The sequence below is a fragment of the Homo sapiens genome, chromosome 8 (genome assembly GCF_000001405.40).
Source record: "Homo sapiens chromosome 8, GRCh38.p14 Primary Assembly".
NCBI classification, from domain to species: Eukaryota; Metazoa; Chordata; class Mammalia; order Primates; family Hominidae; genus Homo; species Homo sapiens.
This window is the reverse complement of record NC_000008.11, coordinates 78,738,943-78,757,514: the sequence shown is the minus strand read 5'-3', so window position 1 is coordinate 78,757,514 and position 18,572 is coordinate 78,738,943. Positions and strand designations below refer to the sequence as shown.

General features: G+C 36.5%; 1 protein-coding gene across 10 annotated transcripts in view; it reads left to right on the top strand.

Annotated features, from left to right (window-relative positions):
- IL7 (interleukin 7) overlaps positions 1–18,572 on the top strand; it is a 130,420-nt gene that overhangs the window by 47,949 nt on the left and 63,899 nt on the right. For 6 of the 10 annotated variants that reach the window (XM_011517523.4, XM_011517522.4, NM_001199888.2 and 3 more), the window contains exon 3: positions 17,433–17,513. In XM_011517523.4, coding sequence (XP_011515825.1) covers positions 17,433–17,513 — 81 coding nt within the window. Of the gene's footprint in view, positions 1–7,224; positions 7,992–10,418; positions 10,622–17,432; positions 17,514–18,572 lie in introns of those variants that run through there. The other 4 variants (XM_047421768.1, XM_047421767.1, XM_047421766.1 and 1 more) reach the window with 4 other exon arrangements.

The following is an 18,572-nucleotide window of genomic DNA, read 5'->3' as shown; positions in this document are numbered from 1 at the left end:
TCCAATACAGTAAGAGTTGGAAATTTCAGCACCCCACTTTCAGCACTGGGGAGATCATCTAGAGAGAAAATCAACAAAGAAATATTGGACTTAATCTGTGCTATAGACCAAGTGGACCTAGCAGGTATTTACGTAATATTTTATCCAACAGCTACAGAATACACATTCTTTTCACCAGCACATGGAACGTTCTTCAGGATAAACCATATGCTAGTCCACAAAACAAGTCTCAAAAAATTTTTAAAAATCAAAATCATGTTGAGTACCTTCCCAGAGTACAATGGAATAAAACTATAGATCAATAATAAGAGAAATTTTGGAAACTGTACAAATACATTGAAATAAAGCAATAGGCTTCAAAGTGATCATTAGATTAATGAAAAAATGAAGATCAAAATGAAAAAAAATCTGAAACAAATGAAAATGTAAACACAACATACCCAAACCTATGGAATATAGTAAAAGTAGTGCTAAGAGGGAATGTTATAGCAATAGCCATCTACATCAAAAAAGTGGAAAGATTTCAAATAAACATCCTAACAGTGCACCACAAGGAACTAGAAAAGCAAGAGGGATCCAAGCCCAAAATTAATACAAAGAAGGCAAAAATAAAGAGCAGAAAAAAAGGAAATAGAAACTAAAAGCTAAACTAAACTAAATAATAAAACTATTAACAAAACAAAATTTTATTTCTTGAAAAGATAAACATAAACCACTTGGAAAATAAAATAAAAATAAAATCCTAGAAAAAATTTAACCAAGGAGATGAAAAGATAAAAAATAAACCACTAGCTGGACTAACTAATAAAGAGAGAAGACCCAAATAAGTAAATCAGAAACAAATAAAGCACACATTACAACTGATACCACAGAAATATAAAGGACTATCAGAGATTATTTTGAGCAACTATACACTAACAAATTGGAAAACCTAGCGGAAATGAATCAATTCCTAAATACATCTACCCTGTCAAGACAGAACCAGAAATAAATAGGAAACATGAACAGACCAATAACGAGTAACAAGACTGAATCAATAATAAAATTCTCCCAAAAAAGAAAAGCCCAGGACCAGATGGCTTTATTTCTGAGTTCTACCAAACTTTTAAAGCAAGACAAATGCCAATTCTTCTCAAGCTATTCTTAAAGAAAAAAACGAAAAGGAGAGAATTCTTCTTAATTCATTCTACAAAGCCAGCATTACCCTGATAGCAATACCAGATAAAGAGACAACCAAAAAGAAAACTACAAGCCAATATGCAAAGTTTCTCAACAAAATACTAACAAACTGAATCTAACAACACATCTAAAAAATAATAGAACATAATAAAGTGGGATTTATCCCAAGGATGCAAAGAAGGTTCAACATACACAAATCAATAAATGTGATACATCACTTCAAAAGAGTGAAGAACAAAAACCATATGATTATCTCAACTAGCACAGAAAAAAAGCATTTGATATAATTCAAGAACTCTTTATGATGAAAACTCTTAACAAATTGGCATAGAAACAAAGTATTGCAACTCAATAAAGGCCATATATTATTAACCCACAGCTATCATCTTACAGAATGAGGAAAAACTGAAAGTCTTTCTTATAATAACTGAATAAGACAAGGATGCCCACTTTTACCACTCCTATTCAACATCTCACTGGAAGCCCTAGCCAGAGCAATTAGGCAAGAGAAAGAAATAAAAGATGTCCAAGTTAGAAAAGAAGAAGTCAATTGTCCCTCTTTGCAGATGACATGATTATACATAGAAAAATCTAAATACTCCACCAGGAAACTCTTAGAACTGATAAATGAATTCAGTAAAGTTGCCAGATACAAAATTAACATACGAGAATCAGTAGCATTTTTTTATATCATAATGAACTAGCTGAAGGAGAAATCAAGAAAGCAATCTGATTTACAATTTTTGCCAGGAAAATAAAATAAAAATAAAAACCTAGAAATAAATTTAACCAAGGAGGTGAAGACCTCTACAATGAAAACTACAAAACACTAATGAAAGACTGAAGAGAATACAAACAACTGTAAAGATATAATATGCCTATGGATTGGAAAAATTAATATTGTTAAAATGACCATACTACACAAAGCAATCTACAACTTTAATGCAATCCCTATCATAATACCAATGACATTTTTCACAGAAAGAGAAAAAACAGTCCTAAAATTTGTATGGAAATACAAAGGACTTGAATAGCAAAAGCAATACTGCTCAAAAAGAACAAAGCTGGAGGTCTCATACTATATAATTTCAAAATATACTACAAAGCTATAACCAAAACAACATAGCACTGGTATAAAAACAGACACATAGACCAAGGGAATGGAATAGAGAAGCCAGAAATAAATCAATGTATTTACAGCCAACTTATTTTTGGCAAATATGAAAGAACATACATGGGAAAATGATGGTCTCTTTAATAAATAGTGCTAGGAAAACTGGATGTTCACAGGCAGAAGAAGGAAACTAGACCCCTATCTCTCACCATATATAAGAATCAACTTGAAATGGATAAAAGACTTAAACATGAAACCCAGAAATATAAAACCACTAGAAGAGAATATAGGAGAAATGCTTCAGAACATTTTTAGGGAAAGATATTGTGGCTGAGATTTCAAAAGCACAAGTAGCAAAAACAAAAAGAAACAAATGTGACTGTATTAAACTAAAAACTTCTACACAGCAATGGAAATAATTAACAGAGTGGAGAGACAACCTATAGAATGAGACAAAATATGTGCAAATTATTCATCCAACAAGGGATTAATTTTCAGAATATATAAGGAATTCATACAGCTCAACAGCAAAACAAAACAACAACAAAAACCTGATTAAAAAGTGAGCAAAGCCTTGTAGCATAGTTTGAAGTCAGGTAGCGTGACGCCTCCAGCTTTGTTCTTTTTGCTTAGGATTGTCTTGGCTATACGGGCTCTTTTTTGGTTCTATGTGAAATTTAAAGTAGCTTTTTCTAACTCTGTGAAGAATTTCAGTGATAGCTTGTTGGGAATAGCATTGAATCTATAAATTGCTTTGGGCAGTATGGCCATTTTCACGACATTGATTCTTCTTTCCATGAGCATGGAATGTTTTTCCATTTGCTTGTGTCCTCTCTTATTTCCTTGAGCAGTGGTTTGTAGTTCTCCTTCAAGAGGTCCTTCACATCCCTTGTAAGTTGTATTCCTAGTTATTTTATTCTCTTTGTAGCAATTGTGAATTGGAGTTTTCTCATGATTTGGCTCTCTATTATTGGTTTATAGGGATGCTTGTGATTTTTGCACATTGATTTTGTATCCTGAGACTTTGCTGAAGTTGCTTATCAGCTTAAGGAGTTTTGGGGCTGAGACGATGAGGTTTTCTAAATATACAATCACATCATCTGCAAACAGAGATAATTTCACATCCTCTCTTCCTATTTGAATATCCTTTATTTCTTTCTCTTGCCTGATTGCCCTGGCCAGAACTTCCAATACTATGTTGAATAGGAGTGGTGAGAGAGGGCATCCTTGTTTTGTACCAGTTTTCAAAGGAAATGTAACCGAACAGCATGGTAATGGAACCAAAACAAATATATAGACCAATTGAACAGAACCGAGGCCTCAGAAATAGCATCACACATCTACAGCCATCTTTGACAAACCTGACAAAAACAGGAAATGGGGAAAGGTTTCCCTATTTAATAAATGGCGCTGGGAAAACTGGCTAGCCATATGCAGAAAACTGAAACTGGACCCCTTCCTTATGCCTTAGAACAAAAATTAACTCAAGATGGATTAAAGACTTAAACATACGACCTAAAACCATAAAAACCCTAGAAGAAAACCTAGGCAATACCATTCACGACATAGGCATGGGAAGACTTCATGACTAAAACACCAAAAGCAATGGCAACAAAGGCCCAAATTGACAAATGGTATCTATTTAAACTAAAGAGCTTCTGCACAGCAAAAGAAACTATAATCAGAGTGAACAGGTTACCTACAGAATGGGAGAAAATGTTTGCAATTTATCCACCTGACAAAGACCTAATATCCAGAATCTACAAGGAACTTAAACAAATTTATAAGAAAAAAATAAACAAACCCATCAAAAAGTGGGCAAAGGATATGAACAGACACTTTTCAAATTTATGCGGCCAACAAACATATCAAAAAAAGTTCATCATCACTGGTCATTAGAGAAATGCAAATCAAAACCACAAAGAGATATCATCTCACACCAGTTAGAATGGCGATCATTAAAAAGTCAGGAAACAACAGATGCTGGAGAGGATGTGGAGAAATAGGAACGTTTTTGCACTGTTTGTAGGAGTGTAAATTAGTTCAACCATTGTGGAAGACAGTGTGGTGATTCCTCAAGGATCTAGAACTATAAATACCATTTGACCCACCAATCCCATATACCCAGAGGATTTTAAATCATTCTACTATAAAGACACATTCACATATATGTTTATTGCAGCTATTCACAATAGCAAAGACTTGGAACCAACCCAAATGCCCATCAATGTTAGACTGGATAAAGAAAACGTGGCACATATACACCATGGAATACTATACAGCCATAAAAAATAATGAGTTCATGTCCTTTGCAGGGACATGGATGAAGCAGGAAACCATCATTCTCAGCAAACTAACACAGGAACAGAAAACCAAAGACCGCACGTTCTCACTCCTAAGTGGGAGTTGAACAATGAGAACATATTGGCACAGGGAGGGGAACATCACACATTGGGGCCTGTCGCAGGGTGGGGGACAAGGGGAGAGATAGCATTAAGAGAGATACCTAATGTAGATGACGGGTTGACGGGTGCAACAAACCACCATGGCACATGTATACCTATGTTACAAGCCTGCACGTTCTGTATCCCAGAACTTCAAGTATAATAATAAAACAAAAGTGAGCAAAGGATGTGAATAGACATTTATGAAACTAAAACATACAAATGGCCAATAAGTATGAGAAAAAATGCTCAAGATCACTAATCACTGGAAAAAAATGCAAATCAATACCACAATGAGCTATCACACCTGTCAGAATGGCTATTATCAAAAAGACAAAAGATAAGTGTTGATGAGGATGTGGAGAAAAGGAAACCATTGGAATTGTTGGTGGGAATGTGAATTAGTACAGCCATTATTGAAAACAGTATGAAGTTTCCTCACAAAATTAAAAATGGAACTAGCATGTGCTCCTGCAATCTCACTACCAAGCAGTTATCCAAAGGAAAGGAAATCAGTCTATTAAAGGGACACCTGTAACTTAATGTTTATTGCAGCAGTATTCACAATGGCTAAGACATGGAATTAACTTAGGTGTCCATCAACAAACAAATGGATGAAGAAAATGTAGTATATATACACTCAATGAAATAACCTTCAGGTATAAAAAAAGTATGAAATCCTGTCACTCACAGCAACACAGATGAGCCTGGAGGACTTTATATTAAGCCAAATCGGTCAGTCACAGAAAGATAAACACCACATGCTGTCATTTATATGTGGGAGCTAAAACATAATTGAGTTCATGGAAGTAGAGAATAAAATTGTGGGTATTAAAGGCACAAAAGGGTAGGAGGGAGGGGACGATAGGGAGAAGTTGGTTAACAGATGCAAAATTATAACTAGATAGGAGGAATTAGCCCTGGCATTCTGCAGCACTGCAGGGTGAACATAGTTTACCATAATTTATTGTATATGCTCAGAAAGCTAGAATAGAGGATTTGGATTGTTCATAACAGAAAGAAATGATGAATGTTAGAGGGGATGGATATGCTAATTACCCTGATTTGATCATTACACATTGTATATCACATATGGAAATATATCACTGTGTCATCCATAAATATGTACGACTATTGTGTCAACTAAAAATAAAAGGAAAAAAAGTAAAAATAAGGGAAAGTATTTATTTTACCTTCACTTATTCTCTGATGTTGTTCCTTCCTTTATTTAGATCCATGTTTCTAACTTATGTAATTTTCCTTCTTCCTGAATAGCTTCTGCTAAGATTTCTTGCAAGGCAGGTTTACTTGTAACAAATTCTCTCAATTTTTGTTTGTCTGAGAAAGGCTTTATTCCTCCTTCACTTTTGAAGGCTAAATTCACAGAGTACATAATTTAAACACTGGTTTTTTACTCTTAACATTTTGAATATTTCATTCCTCTCTCTTTTTGCTTGCATGATTTCTGTGGTGAATTTGGATGTAATTCTTATCTTTGCTCTTCTATAAGTAAGTTGTTTCTTTTCTCCACTTTGCATTCTTTTCTAGATATTTTCTTCATCCCTTGATTTTTCTTTTTCTGTCTCTTCTCCTTTTTTATATTCCCATTACATGTATGCTACTCCTTTTGTAGTTGTCCCACAGTTCTTAGATATTCTGTTCTTTTTTATCAGTTTTTTTTTTTTTGAATTTTTGCTTCTCAGTTTTGGAAGTTTCTGTTGTCCTATCATTAGACTCCAAGATTCTTTCCTCAGCTATGTGAAGTCTACTAATGAGCCCATCAAAGGCATATTTTCTTTCTGTTTTTGATCTTTATCATTTTAAAATTATTTCCTAGAATTTTAATCTCTCTGCTTAAATTTCCTATCTGTTCTTGTCTGTTGTCTAATTTTTTCATTACAGCTCTGACAGCTCTGAGCATATTAATCATAGACTTTATTTATTTTCTTTTTTTGAGACGGAGTCTCGCTCTGTTGCCCAGGCTGGAGTGCAGTGGCACGATCTCGGCTCACAGAAACCTCCACCTCTCAGGTTCACGCCATTCTCCTGCCTCAGCCTCCTGAGTAGCTGGGACTACAGGTGCCCGCCACCATGTCCAGCTAATTTTTTGGTATTTTTAGTAGAGACGGGGTTTCACCGTGTTAGCCAGGATGGTCTCGATCTCCTGACCTCGTGATCTGCCTGCCTTGGCCTCTCAAAGTGCTGGGATTACAGGCGTGAGCCACCACGCCTGGCCTCAATCATAGACTTTTAAAAAGATTTCTGTTCTGATAATTCCAACCTCATGGCCATAGGTAAGTCTAGTCCTTATGCTTGCTCTGGCTCTTCAAACTGTGTGTTTTGCCTTCTAGTATGCCTTGTAATTTTTTTTTTCATAGCTGATTATAATGTTCTGAGTAAAAGAAACTGTGATAAACAGGCCTTTAGTGATGTCACAATACGGTGTGGAAAAAGGGGATGTGTTCTATAAGCCTGTGATTAGGTCTTAGTCTTTTGGCGAGCCTGTGACCTGGACTGTGAACTTTCAGTGCTGCTCTTTTTTTTCCCCTCCTTAGGTGGTACAGGGCAGCCTTCCAACATGTGAAAAACTAGAGGACCCTTGAGCTGGGTATTTTTTTCCCCAGGCAGATCAGACTCTGATAAAACCTCAGAAGGTTAGGCTCTGGTAAAATAGTCACCCTTGAGTTTAGGCCCTTTAAAGGAGAACAGACTATTCAGCTTTTTAGAAATTAGTATTTTTTTTTTGAGACAGGGTCTTACTGTCACCCAGGCTGGAGTGCAGTGATATAAATCATGGCTCACTGCAGCCTTGACCTCCTGGGTTCAAGTGATGCTCCTATTTCAACCTGAGTAGCTGGGACCACCAGCATGTGCCACCATGCATGGCTAATTTTTTTGTAATTGTTTGTAAAGATAGGATCTCACTATGTTGTCCAGGCTGGTCTCAAACTTCTGGGCTCAAGTGATCCTCCCACCTCTGGCTTATTTTATAATAGTTTTTTCCCCTCCTCCTACCAGAAGCACAAGAGGACTTTCTCATCTGATACTTACTGTGAGGACCTAGTAGTTAGAGCTCCTAAAGATCAAACTCATAAAAGTATATAGCCCCCACAACTATGACTGGGTACCCTTGGAGTTTTTAATTCTCTAAGTTGTTTCACACTGAGCCTTCAGCAATTTGCCAATTACAGTTTAATTTTTTCTACCCCCACAATGGTTGCTATGGAGGTTTCTGCTCATGGATCTCTGCTTCAGTAAGTTGTGGTTCTATCTGTTTCTCTAATTTGGGGATCCTCTCTTTCTCTCCAACTTTAGGGCAGTGGTTTGCCCTGTGACCTCACTTCTCTGATCTAAGAAGAGTTGTTGATTTTTTTTTAATGGGTTTAGCTTTTTACTTTTAAGTATGGATTGGCAACTTCTAAGCTTCTTATATGCCAAATGGAAAAGTAGAAGTTCTCAAAACAACTATTTTATACTAATATTTTATTGATTTATATAGTATTAAGTATTATAATTAAATGCTAAGTATAACTTAGTGTTAAGGAATTGACTTAGTCAATAAGCAACTGAAATGGTGGGAGAAAATATACACGAGTACATAAGAAACTAAACTACTAGTTTGGAGTCTTCATTGTTCTCTGGGCATTAGTGAATATGTTTTGACAGAAGGAATAGAAACTATTGATCATCCAGAAAGTCAGTTAAATGACAGTTAAACTTCTGGTAGATAAGTGTGTTCAAGTGTCTACATATGCATTCACATTTAAATATAGGCTTCTACATAGTACCTTTTTCTCTTAATGTTTTATTATAGATTTACCACTTGTTTATGAACATTACCTGAAAACAAATATATCTGCTTAATATTTTATTTTATTTTCCATCATCTATTTTACCATTCCATTATTAGCTTTCTTTTCTATTTTAGCTGTTTTCTTTATGTAGATAAATTTTGAACAAGACTCAATTTACTTGACCTTTTAATTGGCATTTACTATGGACCACCACTTCCTCAAAACAATCCATTCTCTTGGCTTTCCTTCTAACTCTCTGGCTTTACTATTTGTCTATTTGACATCTGTTCCTGAATCTTTGAAAGTCAGCTCAAACGTCATCTGTTTAAAACCTAACACATAATTTATACACTCCACCTCTTCTTCTATTTCCTATCTCAATGGCAACACAATACTGATGGTAACCAGCTTACCATAGTTAGGCTTATAATTTTTGAATTTACAATGGGCTTATTGGAATGTAAACCCATTGTAAGTTAAGGAGCATCTGACTCTTTTGTTGTACTCACCAGACAACTCAAGAATGATCCTTGATATGTCCATCTTGCTTAATTTTTATTTTCAAATCACATTAAATTTGCTTATTTCTCAAATCTATTCATGTATTTCTAGATTCTCTCTTACTATCAAGTGCAATAAATAATTATGTTAAGCACTGACTATGTAATAGCCTCATAAAGATTCACCCATATACTTTCTTGAATCTCTCCAAACCATCTGGCATATGGCTGTTAATATGACCATTGAAAAAAGTAAACTAGAAAAACTGTTCCCATGTTTGTAAGTACAAATACATTAATTATTGCTTTTAGGATTGATACAAAACTTCTTAAAATATCCTTAAGGCCACACATAATTTGGTCTCTTCCAGCTCTGGCTTTATGTCAAACCAGTTCTGTCTCTTCCTCTCTCAGCCATATTCCTACTTTCCCTTGCTCTCTTCTTTCTAGCCACATACAGGCCATGATCCCTCTCTCTTCAAAGTAGTCACCTATACTATTTGCTACTGAATCCCCCTTTTCCCTAAGGTACTTATGATTGAGATCTCTTGTGAAGTATCCTTCTCCGGGAAGTATTCATTGAGGTTTTTAAGTAAAATCTTCTTGTATAGGCTTCATGGCAGCATATATCTTGTATTCATAACAGTTCTCAAGTTGGGAATTGATTGCTGTTATTGGATTAATGTTTTTGCCACCAAATAATAAACTTCTTGAGGGAAGGAGCCACGTATGATTTTGATCCCTGTTGTATTCCTAATACTAAATGGCACATGGTAAATGCTCAAATATTTGATCAAAGAATAAATGACTTTAATTTAAACTAAGAATTAACTAATAAGTCATACTATAATCTGCTAAGCTACCTGACAAATGGTAAAAATTGTAGCAATTGAGATAGAATTCCAGGAACAATATACACCTTTTTCAAATTTCATACAGAGTAGATTTTCTAAAAAATAAGCAGCGCATTTTAAAAGGCCCCCTAAATAAGGCTTCAGATGGCACAAGGCCATGGATAGGTTGTCATAGTGATGATCAGAAATGAAAAATATTTCTACTTTACTTGAGGTAAGGAGTTTGAGGACAGCCTGGCCAACATGGTGAAACCCAGTGTCTACTAAAAATATAAACATTAGCTGGCTTTGGTGGTGCATGCCTGGAATCCAGTTACTTAGGAAGCTGAGGCAGGAGAATTGCTTGAACCCAGGAGGCAGAGGTTGCAGTGAGCCGAGACCATGCCACTGCACTCCAGCCTGGGCAACAGACCCCATCTCAAAAAAAAAAAAAAAAAAAAAGCAATGAAGTATATTTCTATAGGGACCAACTTTATTTATAGCAAGAGACATGAGACTGAATATATTCTATGCCAAAACTTTCCAATCCTTAGAATCAGCCCTACAAAAAGAAAGAAAAAAGAACAGAAAGGAAGCAGCAATCAGCTATGAGCAATAATTAGACATTCGTTTGCTAGCTCTAGCACATGTGACCATGAAGAGTAACTGTGAACCATATTGACTTTCTCTCCTGAAAAGAAAAATATGAAAAAAATTCAGAAGAAAACTGTCCTATCACAAAGAATACAGAAATTGGGTAAGAATGAACAGCTGTTTCATTTCATTACCTTTGCCCTTTTCCACCTTTATTTTTGGACAATTAGTTGATCTAAAAAGCAATAGTTCTCTATCAGTCAGTTTTTGCTACAAACACATACACACACAGAAAGAGAGAAAGGCATACAGTAATATGCATTTACCTTAGGTTCACAGGTATGCAGTTTGGCTGAGTTCGATTACCTCCATGTGTTTCATTCTAAGTCATAAGATGGAAGGAGCAGCTGTATGGGAGTTTTAACATATGCACAAAGATACTCCACCTTACAAGAGGTACAGCTTAAATTCCCTCCTCTTGAGTGTGGATTAGAATTAGTGACTCACTGCAAGCAACTGAATAATGAGGAAATGGCAGTGTGTGACTTCCATGTAATAAAAGACATGGCTTCCTCCTTGCTTTCTCTTACATTGATACTTGGGGGAAAGTCAGCAACTATCTTGGAAGGATATTGAAGAAAGCCTGTGGAGAAACTCATGTGGTGAGAAATTGAGGCATTCTGCCAATACCTGCATGAATAGGTCATCTTGGGAATAGATCCTCTAATCCTGATGGAGTCCAGATGACTACAGACATGACCAACATCTTGACTGCCTCCTCATGAAAGATGAACTAGAAGCTCCCGGTTAGGCAGCTTCCAAATTCTTGATCCACAGAAACTGTACTGAAAGCATCAATTTCTTACCACATGTCTTTTGGACAAACTCAACATTAATGGACAGAGGAGCATACTTCTCTATAGTAGGCTAAATAATGGCCACCCAGATAAAAAAATTCTAATCTGAAAATGTATAAGGTAAAGGAATCTACAGATGTGATTGAATTAAGAATGTTGGTGTGATAAGTTTATTTTGGATTATCTTGGTGGGCCCTAAATGCTATCACAAGTTCCTTCTAAGAGAAAAGCAGGAGAAGACTTGACACCCACACAAAGAAGGTGATGTGAAGATGGAGGCAGAGACTGGAGCCACTAGGCCACAAGCCAAGGAACACTAAGGAATGCTGGCAGACACCAGAAGATAGAAGAGGCAAACAATGCATGCTCTCCCAGAGCCTCTAGAAATGTGAGATAATAAGTTTTTATTGTTTTGAGCCTCCAAATTTTTGGTAATTTGTTACATCAGCCATATGGAATGAAAACATCCTCTCATTTGTTGAGTTTAGATGTTAAATACTGGCTGAACAATAATCTACTCTACTTTAGCATCTTTTCAAAAATAATCACAAAATTTAAAAGGAAAATTATGCACTGGTACTAGCAAAATAAATGAACAAATGAATTAACACAAAATAGGCAAAAGGAAAATGAAGTATCTAGACCAAAGTTTAATTATCCATGAAAGCAATGGAAAATGTGAAGTCTCTAAGAAACCAATGTAAAAAGAGCTAAAAACAATATAGTATGAAAGAAACCAGAAAGAAACAAATGTTCTTTGGATTTTGGAGAAATACAGAGACTAAAATAAAAACCAGAAATGAATACTCCATTAAAACAGGCATATGAAAGACAGGATGGGTAAAAACCACACAAAACGAAATTGTGTGTTTGTGTATATATACGTGTGTACACACATACACGAAAAGAAAAAGTTCAATAGAAGATTCATTTTTTATGTAATTAGTGTTTCTAAAGAAGATACTTAAAATGTAATTTAAAAATTCAAAGATAGAAGAAAACTATGCTGAAATTAAAGAAGATATAATTCTACAAATGTAAAGAACATTATGTATTTTAAGAACTTGAAAGAAAAGGAGTGGGGAAGTGGCCAAGATGGCCAACTAGAAGCAGCTCGTGTGAGTGGCTCTCACAAAGAGGGACAAAAGGGCGAGTAAATACAGCACCTTCCACTGAAACATCCAAGTACTCGCACTGGGACTAATCAAGGAAACAACTTGACCCATGGAGAACATAGAAAACAAAGGCAGGACGACAGCCCACCTGGGCACGACACCCAGCCAGGTGAACCTCCCCTGCCCAGAGAATCGGTGAGTGAATGTGTGACCCTGGAAACCACACTCTTCCCACGAATCTTTGCAACCTCGAGTTGGGAGATCCCCTCTTGAACCCACTCCATCAGGGCTTTCAGTCTAATACACAGAGATACGGGAGTCTTGGCAGAGAAGCTGCTCAGGCACATGTTGGAGAACCAGGAACTGTAGATATTCCACCTTCAGGCTTCCCGGCAAAAGTAACTGCAACTCCAGAAAAGCAGGAGATTAGATCCTTGTGCATACCCTTAGGAAAGAGGCTGAATCCAGTGGGCCAAGCAGCGATGGTCTGTAGGCCCTACTTCCATGGTGCCTCAAAGGATAAGACACATTGGCTTGGAATTCCAGCCAGCCACCAGCAGCAGTGTTGTGCCTACCTGGGACAGAGTTCCCAGGGAGAGGGGAAGGCCACCATCTTCACTGTTTGGGCAAGTCACCTTTTTCAGCCTGCAGACTTTGAAGAGTCCAAACCGATCGGGCAGAAGGGATCCCCCAACACAGCACAATTGCTCTACCAACACGTGGCCAGACTGCTTCTTTAAGCAGGTCCCTGAGCCATCCCTCCTTATTGGGCAGGACCTCCCAACCAGGGCCTCCAGCCATCCCCGCTGGTGTTCTCTGGCCTACAGAGATTTGAAAACTCCCTGGGACAGAGGTCTCAGAGGGAGGGGTGGGCTGACATCTCTGCTATTTGGGTACTGAACCTGTCCAGCCTGTGGGCTTTGGAGAGCCCAAGCCAACAGGCGGTGAAGCGTTACCCCAGCACTGCGCAGCTGCTCTACAAAAGCATGGCCAGACTGCTTCTATAAGTGGGTCCCCAATCCTCTTCCTCCTGACTGGGCAAGACCTCCCAACCAGGATCTCCAGCCACCTCCTGCAGGTGCGTTCCACCTGGCAACAGGTTCATACCTCCCTGGGCCAGAGCTCTTAGAAGAAGTGGCAGGCTGCCATCTTTGCTGTTTTGCAGCCTTCACTGGTGATACCTTCAGCTACCGGAAAATCCAAGGCAACTAGGGACTGGAGTAGACCCCCAGCAAACCACAGCAGCCCTATGGAAAATTGGCCAAATTGTGCCAGGGGGAAAAAAAAAGGTAGGCAACGTCGAACATTGAAGGTAGATTAGATAAGCTCACAGAAATGAGAAAGAATCAGAGCAAGAATGCTGAAACCTCAAAAAGCCTGAGTGCCCTCTTTCCTCCAGCTGACCTCATTACCTCTCCAGCAAGGGTTCAAAATAGCCAGTATAGAGAAGTACTTAATCCTCCTGATAGGGCTGAAAAACACACTACAAGAATTTCGTAATGCAATCACAAGTATTAATAGTAGAATAGACCAAACAGAGGAAAGAATTTCAGAGCTTAATGAAATATGGCAGGCAGACAAATGTAGAGAAAAAAGAATGAAAAGGAATGAACAAAACCTCCGAGAAATATGGAATACCATATCACACCAGTCAGAATGGCTATAATTAAAAAGTCAAAAAATAACATGCTGGCAAGGTTGTGAAGAAAAAGGAATGCTTATACACTGTTGGTGGGAATGTAAATCAGTTCAGCCATTGTGGAAGATGGTATGGCAATTTCTCAAAGACCTAAAGACAGATATACTATTCAACCCAGCAGTCCCATTACTGGGCATATAACCAAGGGAATATAAATCATTCTGTTATAAAGACACATGCACATGTATGTTCATTGCAGCACTATTCACAATGGCAAAGACATGGAATCAAACTAAATGGCCATCAATAATGGACTGGATAAAGAAAATGTGGTACGTATACACCATGGAACACTATGCAGCCACAAAAAAGAATGAGATCAATGAGATCATGTCCTTTGCAGGGACATGGATGGAGCTGGAGGCCATTATCCTTAGCAAACTAATGCAGGAACAGAAAACCAAATACCACATGTTCTCACTTATAAGTGGCAGCTAAATGATCAGAACACATGGACACATACAGGGGAACAATACACACTGGGGCTTTTTGGAGGATGGAGGGTAGGAAGAGGGAGAGGATCAAAAAACAATTAATGGATACTAGGCTTAATACCTGGGTGATGAAATAATCTATACAAAAAAAACCCATGACACAAGTTTACCTATGTAACAAACCTGCACTTGTACCCCTGGACTTAAAATAAATGTTTAAAAAATAGAGAAAGAAAAAGACACTAAAAACATGAAAAGATATGAAAGCATATAACTCACTGTAAAGATAAAGCATAAAATTCACCATAAAGATAAAATATAGTCAAATTCAGAGGGCTGTAATGAATTTGTATGTAATTAAGTGTATACTGTAATTATAGTTTATAAGTTACTTTTCCTCTACTATAAGAGTTAAAAGACAAAAGTATTAAAAAATAACTTCACCTAAAAAAAAGAACTTAGCCAATGTCATGTTTTATACTAGAAAATACTGCAGTTCAGTCTTATAATCCTGGCTTTTCTCTTCTGATTTTCCATATTTATAAAATATTTGAAGAAATTTGTTTCTTATGTACATCTTGACATATGTGATATATGATTTGTTTCTTTTTATTTTTTATTTTTTTCTGAGACAGAGTCTTGCTCTGTTGCCCAGGCTGGAGTGCAGTGGCGTGATCTCAGCTCACTGCAAGCTCCGCCTCCCAGGTTCAAGCGATTCTCCTGCCTCAGCCTCCCAAGCAGCTGAGATTACAGGCATGTGCCACCACACCCGGCTAATTTTTTTTTTTTTTTTTGTATTTTTAGTAGAGATGGGGTTTCACCATGTTGGCCAGGCTGGTCTCGAACTACTGACCTCACGATCTACCCACTTTGGCCTCCCAAAGGGCTGGGATTACAGGCATAAGGCACCATGCCTAGCTGTGATTTGTTTCTTATTTGCATCTGGACATATGTGACATGTGAATAAGAAACAATTATTGGGACTTTGGTCAAGTAATTCTATTCTTTGTTAAATCAAAAGATGGCCATCTAAGTTTCTTTTCAACACCATGTATCTATAATTCTTACTCTGAGCCATTCTTCTGATAGGGCATGAATGAAAAGAATTTTAGAAAGCAACAGTAATTGGCAATCATATAGATCTATATTAGATGCATTAATAAAATGTACTAAGGTCGATGAATTAATAACTGTGACCTCTATAGGAGTCAACCTTTTAAGGGTATAGTAACACATTTACATTCCATATCAAGCATTAGGTAAAAAATAATCAACTGGTATAACATTATCTTTCTGTGGATCTGCCAAAAATAAGTTTTATTAATAACCTAGAACAGCCACCTAACCAATATGGCTTTTTAAATATTCATGTGTCATGCAATTTGCTAACATGTTGCAAGAAATTGGCATTCATTATGTGACATATTGTCTCATACGATATTTTTGGTGAATTGGAAGATAACATATAGAGTAGCTACACGTTTCACCTTCTTTTTTGAAGGATGACATGGTAAAAATTAAATACTCTATGTTTTATCAAAGAAAAAATTATGTATGAGTTATTGTCCTTGGGGTATGGGGAAGTCAACATGAAAATGACTTAATAGGCAAATATTAATTATCCACTAAATTTTCAGGAATATGTACAATGGCAATGTGAAGATAGTTATTGAAAATGTATCTTTTACACTTGAGATGTATGTATTCAGACACTTCTTGCAGATAAAGCTGATAGTATATACATTTTAAAATCAGGGTAAACCCAGACATCATCATGCTTTTCACAGGTGATAAGAGTAATGAATACTTTTCTGAGAGGCAGATGAGGATTCAAAGCCCATGACTAAATCCTGCCATTGCTCCACTTCTTATCCTGTTTCTCTGGAGACATTACATAGGCTAAGATTGCTTTCAGTCCCAGAAGCTCTGATAGCATGGAGTTGCTAGTTTGCTGGACAGAGCTAGTCCAACCCGGTGCATAAGAAAATCTGAAACCTTAGGAGGTTTTTCCTAATATCAACTAAATTATTGATTTAGATAATCTCTACCTTCTTCTACTACATTCCTTGTAAATGAAAAAAAAAATAGCGCACATATCAGTCTGCTTTCTCACTCCTATGTTTATAATACACACATATAATTACACTGTCTCAGGAAAATTCTACCTCAACCATCCCAGAAAATTGGATTGCTAAAAATGTTGTGAACAAATTTCAACCTTAATTCTCACTGTCAATTTCAAAGTACTAATGCAGATGGTTTTATATTCCTTGCACATCCAATTAATTAGTTGTGACTGTTGAAAATACTATGTTGATTATAAGCCTGTAGTCTCAGCTCAACTGAAAAGAGTGTAAAACAGACAACTGATATGAAGGGGTAAAGGGTTTAGGTATGTTATACATTTGTGATTCTTTCTCTTATGTGTTGAGCTTTGTATGGATCCCTTCATTCTAATATAAATTCCTTTTCTTGTTATTTGTTGATGGCAGGAAATTTGACTGAATAACCTCTTAAGTTCATCTCAACTTAATGACTTCACATTTTATAATACTTTGTCTATAAAGCATAACTTCTAAAATAGGTACTTCTATTTCCCTAGATGAGCCAGATTCTCTTAGAGAATTCTGGGATTCAATTATGGGATCTGGGAGGGGCTCTAAATATGGGAGGATTTGTGTATACACTTATTTATCCTTCAACTATAGAAAATGATTCCTCATGCTTAGTCAGCTGAGCCAGGCAAAACTTATTTTCCTTAAAATGCACATATAAATATCAGATATTATAAGATTATTATTTTTTATAATTACAAGATATTAGAAAAGTACTCAGTTTTAACCATATTATTTTATGTTATTTATTACAGGACAGCATGAAAGAAATTGGTAGCAATTGCCTGAATAATGAATTTAACTTTTTTAAAAGACATATCTGTGATGCTAATAAGGTAATGATAATTATTTGGAGTTTGTCATTCAAGCTTGATTTTATAGAAGCTTCTATTTTTTGTGCCTCTGTTAGACAATTATATGAATACTATTAATATTTGCAGCCTGATCACATAATTCCCATTGATTAAATCATACTATGGCCCAATTTTATATTTTTGTTTTACAAATAGTCCTGTGCTTATTAAATAACAAGTTTTTTTTGTTTCACCATTCTATTTTTTACCTTGAAAATACTAGAATTGTCGAATTCAAAGACACACCTATCTCTTATTTTCTTTCTTTCTTTCTTTCTTTGTTTTTTTTTTTGGAGGCAGAGTTTCGCTCTGTCACCAGGCTGGAGTGTAGTGGCGCAATCTCAGCTCACTGCAAACTCCGCCTCCTGGTTTCAAGCGATTCTCCTGCCTCAGTCTCCCGAGTAACTGGGTCTACAGGCATGCACCACCACACCCAACTAATTTTTGTATTTTTAGTGGAGACGGGGTTTCACCATGCTGGCCAGGATGATCTCGATCTCCTGACCTCATGATCCGCCTGCCTCCGCCTCCCAAAGTGCTGGGATTACAGGCGTGAGCCACGGTGCCTGGCCTCTAAATTTCTTATACAGAAAAATACTTGTTAATGTGAATGCTTGCACACATACAAATATAAGTCATTGGTATAATTTAGTTGGAAGCGTCTTGAAAATTTTTCTTTCAATATTTGCTTATCTCTAAATGATTACCACATCTAGTTGGTATAATATTACACTTTAAAAAACCTAAAAAGTTTATATCATTTCTCCCTACAGAAACAAGTGTGCTATTTCATAGTCTTTTAAAAACTCACAGTAGCTAAGTTAGCCTCATGGCATCTCACAACCATAAATTCTTTTTTTTAAATTTCTTAATTTAAATATCTGCAAAACTTATGTTTTAGGTGACTACAGTCCTTTATTTTCTTATTATCAGCTATTCTTCCATAGCTCAAAAGATGCAAGAAATACTAAGAAAAAACCACACATACCTCTTATAATACATTGTTGCTTCCAGAAGTCTTCTCCTTCGGTTATCATGTTT